The following is an 8,045-nucleotide window of genomic DNA, read 5'->3' as shown; positions in this document are numbered from 1 at the left end:
TCTACTGAACAGAGGATCCTAAATTAGATCTAAATCCTGACTCCAGTGATTGCTGCTCTATATACTGGAGAGACCATGTCTGGAGTACTCTGTTCAGTTATGGCCTCTATATTTTAAGATAGTCATTAGTAAATGATTGTGCATAAACAGGGAACAAGAAGAGTTTATAAAATTGTAAATTTAGAATTCTATCACCGTCCCTCAAGTGCCCTGCTTGACACTCCGCCCCTAAGTGGCAGTACTGTTTGGCCCTAGCTCTGGATTATTCTATAATGTTTTGAAGCAACTGCACAGTCAGAATATAGAATTTGACTTTCTTTAGTTACTCTGCTTTCCACACTTGGTCATGCCATCCACAATGGCACACACACACATGCTGAGCTCTGAAATGCAGTGAGAGGCCAGGCCTAGTAATGCTTTCTCTGCACATTTCTCTGTTACATTCAGAGCCAAGCCCTTGGTTGCCATGAATAATGGGGAACTTCTTATCTTCTCTGGGAAAGAAAGAGAGAATTCTGAGGGATGTCAAGAGATAAACATGAACCGACAATGACAGCATGAACTATTCACATATTGTCTCTCCAAATTTTCATCCACCAAATTGTTTACTGAATCCTGAAATATCTATTTGTAGTTCCGACAATATGACTAACTTCCAAAAGGACCGGTTCCTACTAGCTGCCGTTTGCCTCTAGCAGTAGTATTTCTTGGTATTTTATCTAAGCCTAGCGGTATAAGTTCATTTTGATGATAGATAGCCTAAAGCAAATTTTAACAATATTTGCTGCAGTTTCAGTATAAAATAGCATTCACTGTTCAGATGATAATTTCTATGATTATACCCCAATTGATAAAATATTTGCCACAATTGTAATTATAGGAAATATGGTGGAAGAAAAATGCTACATGTATGCCAACAGGTTTAAGATAAAGCACACCATTTAGGAATTACCCTATTGTACCTAAGCTATGATGATGATGGCTGTGATGCTCAGGGTCTTTGGTATGGCAGTCTGAAGGGCAGGTTTCCCTCCACTGAACCTTGATCCAGCCATAGAGCCTGACACGCAGCCTGGCACATAGTAATAGTATATATGGACTGAGTGATGAATTTACTGAGTGAAAATGATGCCTCTTCTGGAAGCCCAGGTAAGGTCTGAGAATAAAGATCAGCAAGTAAGTTTCAACAGTGAAGAGAAAGGAACGAGTCCAAGGGAGGATTCTAAGTCAGGCAGTATTGGGGCAGATGGGACTCTTTGTTACTGAAACTGAGGATGGCAGTGATGGTGGGTAAAATTAATGATAGGGGTAAATTTTTGTATCCTTTGGGTGATAATAATAGCTAACACTAACTGAAGGATTAATAGGTGCCAGGTATTATATTTCATAATTTATATATAATTCTACTTACTTCTAAAATTGATTGTGAGCTAGGTATTAAAATAAGTTTGTTGGTAAGAAGATTAGAGCTCAGAGAAGCAAGTGTGCTTACATAAAACCACTGGCTCTCAAGAGGTATTTGAATCCAAATCTCATACTTGTCCACTGATTCATGCTCTGATATGATACCTTGCAAAGCACTTTTAAAACAATTTACTAATCAAAAGTCCAACTGACTAACTGATATATTGGCTGGTTATGAGCCCATTTTGCTATCTTCGTCTGACTCTATTTTAAGTCTGTGTCCACTTTGGCTTTGATTTGATCACTCACAGTCTCTGGGATCTGCGGAATATAGCTTTGAATCTTGCTCATTCATTACTTAGGTTTTCATCTTCACAGCCCGTTTAAATAAGGCTCTGAGTACAAAAGATTATGCTCTTTCTGTTAACTTAGGACATACTGGAAGTCATAAGAACGTCTTGGCTGTTATTTAAAGATATAAATATCCTGAGGGGTCTAATTAAATTCTAACAAACCAGAGATGACCACGTTGGAGCTGAGACCAAAATGAAATACAACTTAATAAGGGTTAATTTATCACACAAAGGGGACATCTTTGTAAGTAGGTGGTTTTTTGTTCTAACAGTAAGTTCTATACTCTAGATATTTTCCACCCACTACGTCAAAAAGTACTAAAGAATTTTTTTAAATAAAAGGAAAAGAGCTTTATGTTAAAATAAACTAATCTGTAATAATTTGTAAGTTATGATAATGAAAAGCATAAATGCTGACTTTAGAAAGTAACCAAAGATAAAAGCAACAAATTACTGATGCAACATATTCTAGTACAAAACCATTTCTAGCAACTACATGAAGCTTCAAAATTGTATGTAGAAGCCAGTAAAGAAACTCTTTAAAAATCTGATGATAATGACTCATATTTGTACAGCAAATGACTGTTAAAGAAGCGACACTTTATCATTTAGATTCTGAAATGCTGAGGCAAAGAATGCCTTAGAGTTGAAATAACTACTTATATGAAAGAACTTGGAAGTTTAAAATTTGAATTTTTAATCTAGTCCTGTTTCTGATTTCTGAATTTCCTTATAATGTTCCCTAATGAGTGCAGTCCCTTTCTCTTTATTTCTTTACCCCAAATTCTCCACCTACTTTCAGAGCAATTCCAGCTGGAGTCTTTCACAGAGCCTAGGGGAACTAGCAGTGGGTCAGAGGGCACCTAAGAGTCCTCCATCCCTCAAGAGCACTAAGATAGTTTTAGAATTAGTGATGACAGCGACAGGAGACAGGCAAATTCCTAGGCAGACAGGGATGGGTCCCTGGTGAAAACCAACCTTCAAGCCAAAGACAGTTTAAAGCCTGAAAACCAAGCTGCTGGTTCCAGATAGTGTCCACAAACATAGTGAAAACTTTTGTGTCCGTCTTACCCTCTCTCTATACATAATGATGCCTTTTAACCAATCGAATGATGCTTTTTTCCAAAGACCAGCCATGGACCAATCAGCACATAGTCCCCCCATTTTGAGCCCATAAAATCCCGGGATTCAGTCTCAAGGAGGGCTACTTGATTTCGGGTCTTCTCTTACACAGAGGGCTACCCACTTTGGGTGCCCTCTCGTGTGGAGAGCTTTTCTGTCGCTCAATAAAATTTTTCTCTGCCTTGCAGAACCCAGAACTCCCTGAGCTGCAGGTGGCGGGTGTGAAGAGAGTCGTAACATGCTCCTGTTTGCTGGGCTGCTGGTGTCAGGCGTGAAGAAAGCTGTAACACACACCTCTTTGCCGAGCTGTGGGTGGTGGGAACGAGAGAGTTGTAACATGCCGCCGTTTGCTCATCTGTAGGCACAAAGAACCGAAGCCATTGGGCGCCATTCGCTCTGGCCTGCTCACTGAACTATGAAAGCTGCCACATTTTTTGGGAACTCAGACCTCAGGACTCCCTGGGTGAGAGCCGTAACACCCCTAGGAGCTCTGCTGTTGCTGGCACATCTGAGTTTTTGGGTGCCACCATGCTCCCCTTGTCTAGACGCTGACGCCCAATGTGAAAACCGCTTGCAGCATGCCCAATGCAGCTGTGGGCTGAGTGCAGAGTCCCTGTTGGGGCATGGGATCCAGGCTGCGTCACGAGCTGAGTGCAGCCGGCTGGGTGGAGTGAGCCTGGTGGACTGGAGTGAGGCTGCAGGCAGTGGTCATGGCAGCCACAGAGATTTCTGGCTGGTAAAGTGGTACCAAAAGGAATCCTGTAACAGTAAGTTCAACTTTGCCCAAGGTGTGGTCCTTCACATTATAGGCTGAGAAACTTGATATTGTTAATGTTCCAGCAATGAACTGACTTTGAGGTGCCAATTCATACTAAAAAAAAAATCACCAGAATGTAAGGTATTAATTTCTAACGAGAAATAGTGCTATCAAGTGAATTGGATGCTGGCCCTGACCTCACTAGTATATCGGAAGGCTAACTGCAAGCAGTCTTCTTGGTGGGCATAGGGAAGAGTTGGTTGCCTGGCTCAAAGTTTGAGTAATTTCGGGTTCTGAAGCATGCTCTGCCCAGGGAGAGAATTAATTCAGGATGGTTCTGATGTCCCCAGAGGCCGTCTTCTCCCATATTCTGTGCTTGAATGGAATCTTTGGTCTACCATTTCTATCCAGCCAGTTTCTTCCCATTTGTAGTCTTTCTCCAAGAAGGATATAAGTATAATCAATTAATTTCCTTATTAATAATTGCATCTTTGTCTCCCTGAAGTTAAATCCAGGATACACTGAGGTTTGAGATGCAAACTAGTAGGATGTGTGTTTAGAGACACAAGTCATTAATGTCATATGTTTTGTGTGGAGATTTACAGTATGAAATTCAAAGGGAAACCTAATTTCCAAGTGCTTAGGGCTTCTCATAGGTACAGACAGTGAAAGCATAACCAAACAGGAGCCACCACTAGCTCACAATATCACTTTCTTCTACAGCATTTTTAACCATCAGTGTTATATTTACCTATATCTGTAAGTTATGTGTTACATGGAGAAATGAGTGAAAATGCAGGTTATTAAGGAATAAATTGGGAGACTTCCTTGTAGACGTTTTATGATGTTGGAACCTGGACACTTTATGATTTGCCTTGTTCCAATGTGAAATCTGACCTGCACATTTAGCTAGTATCAACAAGAAAACATGCCCCATTGTGTTTTTAATTTTTTGTGCCCAAGAATTTGGAACACTTTCCACAAAACAGAAATTTTCAGTGTCACACTTTTTCATTTTTGCAATTGTCTTTATACTTATCAACTCTAATTATCTTTTCTATATACTGTTGTGACTGAAATAATGACTTTATTCCATTAAGTCACCAAAAATCAAATAGAAGATTCTATCAAAACATAGCTGTCAGGTAAAATTGCATTCTGTGGAAGGATAAAAGCTATTCTGTTTTAATAATTTTAATTTGTTTCTGCCACAAAGATTCATTTGTGATAATTTCCTTTAACATTTAAACAATATTTTAAATGATTCCATTTAATATTTCTTTTCTGACTGATTCTGTTATCTGCTGTCACATAGATTGTGTAGTCTAGGAAACCTGAAGCCAGCCCTGATGATATAAAGTATCTGAGTTCTCCTTCTTATTCCATTTCTGACTTATTTTATGAAAACTGGTAAGTGACTTAACCACTTTCTGCCTACGCACCTGAAAAATAAGTTAGATAACTACTGTCAACAAACAATGCATGCCTTTTATCTGCGGTGCATCAATTTCATCACTGCTGCAGCTCAGCGGGGGAGGCAAAAATCAAAAGACAGAGAACAACTCAGCAGTTGATGGTATTCTTCATGTAAATACACCTTCTATATGTCATGTCTTCAGAACAATGCTACAAATGCCAAAGGTTTTTAACATGCTGTTAAATATCAGGATCAACATTATTGTTTATTTTATTGTTTTTCAGGTAGGGGTTAGTGATGCTTCTTGCCTTCCTAGTTTTATATTAGCCCCTGCAACCAAGCTTTCAACCATTGCGATGCAGAATTCCAAGACTGCCTGTCTTCGCAGAGCAGTGCTGCACCTCACACCCGAACCCCAGATTGTGAACTGACAGATGTGGGGCTATGCCCCAGACTTAGGAATACAGATGGAACTGAGTTCAAATCTCAGCTCTGCCTCTTATAATCCTTTGACCTTGAGCAAATTCAATAGTCTCTTTGAGCTTCAGTTTCTTTATTCACCAAATGAGGGTAATTAACAGCACTGACTTCATGGAGTTAATGTTAAATAAAAATTAAATAAGATAATGTATATACCTAATACAACATTTAGCACATAGTAGACATGAAATAATGATAAGTATAATGGTAGCTATAAGTTGCGGAATAGAAAGATCAAAGCCTTTTGGCATTTATTTCTACCAGTGCCTTGAACCACAACCCTCTTGGAAGCTATTGGTCCTTGGCTATGGATGGACACTGGCAATGCTCTGTATCTTATAAAGTCCCTGGAGAGTGAAGCCAAGCAGCTATCTCTCCATCCCTTGCCAAAGGCTTCCTCAATTTCCCCGCCATCACTCCCTTCTCTTTTCCACAACATCAAGATTTTTAGTTGAAAATGGTTAAAATTATACTGTCTTCAATGACTTTATTTTCTGGCTCCACCTACCCTGCCCTGATTTTCATTCAATAGCATAAAATTAACTTTCATTTATAAGGTTAAATCATCATTTTTGATGATACATTTGTATAGAAAAATTCCAGGAAAAAAGCTTTTACTGACCTTCTAAAAGCTCGAGATAGCTGCTTAAATAACTAGTTCACAATGTCTTTTCTCTTTCAGCTAAAAATTAAGTGGATATAGATTTTTCTTGGCACATAGTAATATCCTGGGATAAAATGGGGTGAGGAAATCATTTTCACAATGTATTTATAAAATAAAGCAGAGAGGAATGTCTTCTCTTGTTTATTTTTCTCTGAAATGCCTCTATATCATGGCCTAGGTTGAGATGAGGACTGAAAGGAGAAGGAAGAATGGCTGAGGTTGAAACAAGACTTTTAAGAGGGGATTAATATCAAGGCAGTGTGGTCTACTAGAGAGAAAATCAGACTTGGATCTGGAGAACCTAATGTCCTTTTCAGATAAAACGTTGCATCTTTCTCAGTGTTAATTAGAAAATATTTTTGTTTCTGTGACATGTTTTCCCGATGTAAAAAAGTCTACATTTCCTCTATGGAAAAATCACCCCTTTATTCCATTAAACTCCTACCTGTGGAAATAAATGAGCACCAACACAATGAGAACAAAGGCTAATTATTCAGAGCTTGTTATAGCAAGGAAGTCAGCCACTGTCATTGTGTTTTGGCAGAGACTCAAAGTCAGGCAGAGAAGGGAGAACACTTTGTAGTGGAAGAAAAGGGACGGCTTCAGGTATGCCTTGAGCAGAAGCTATTGGCATGGGGGAAGCTGGACACGGTTAACTAAAAGCGGGACATGCTATGTGATGGTTAGGAGGGCACATCTGGCTTTCTTTGGTTGGTCCTAAGCTGGAAGTGGGAACAAAATTAGGGAAGCTGTCAGTTATTAATCATGTCCTCATCATTTTGGGCTGATTTTTAAGGGATTACTTTTTGGCTTTCTGGATTGTCACTAATAGTCTGACCTGTGTTTAGCAGGTGGCTTCCTGCCCTGTCACTGTGGATAAGGGGTTAGTTTCCTGAGTTGGTTGCTGCAGATTATGAATTAAAAGGTCTATTTTTATGTATGGTCTGGATGCTCTTTGTATATTCACTCTTTCATACCCGTAGGGTGATGTTGCATCCTTAGGGAACCAGCGAGGGAAAAGTGGGCTTGGGTTGTCTGTGTTCTAAAATTATATAAGATTTCCTGGACAATAGATGCACGTTAAGCATTATTTCAGCATATGATGTGGGGAGGAAGAACATGGGGGTTAGGCCAAGATCCAGGGCCCAAGAACAACATCCAGTTTATACAGACAGATTATAATAATGGGCCAAACTGGCAAGAACAAAATGGAAAATGTGTTCCTGCAGCAGAAGGAGACTCATGGGGGATATAATTGGCATTTTCAGATATTGAAAAGACTACCATAAAGAAAAGACTGCCAGTATACCCCACTAGATCAGTCAGCAGAAATAACAGGGAGTTAAATTTAGTATAAATATAGGGAAGGTCTTTCTAAATATTAGAGCTCTCTGACAATACCATGAATGGCATCCTAAAGAAAGTTTCTTCCACTTGACAGGCTCAGTAAAGATGATCATCTATGAAAACTGTTCTGGAGGTGGTTTATGCAGAGGACAAAGGATGGCCTCTCACTCTGGGATGATATGAATCTAAAAGTTAAGGTGAGTCCTGACATTCACAATAAGCAATGAATAGCCCATATCAAATGATAAATGGCAAGACAGAAAATTTGGAAAATCTAATAAGAAACTAGGAAAGAGGAAGAGGTAGGAAAAAGACAAGGATAGAAAAGGAGAGGAAGTAAAGAGAGAGGAAAAATGAATTTAAATCAATTGTGTGAAAATGAGAAAAGGCACAACTGAAATTAGACATATTAAAGTCAATGGCTACAAGGAGCTACCCACCAGCTCTCTCCCCCTGGGATTTCTGGGTGCTTGGTCACCTCTCACACAAAAGGAACAGTAG

The sequence above is a fragment of the Homo sapiens genome, chromosome 8, assembly GCF_000001405.40.
Source record: "Homo sapiens chromosome 8, GRCh38.p14 Primary Assembly".
In the NCBI taxonomy this organism is placed as follows: domain Eukaryota; kingdom Metazoa; phylum Chordata; class Mammalia; order Primates; family Hominidae; genus Homo; species Homo sapiens.
This window is presented reverse-complemented; position numbering follows the sequence as displayed.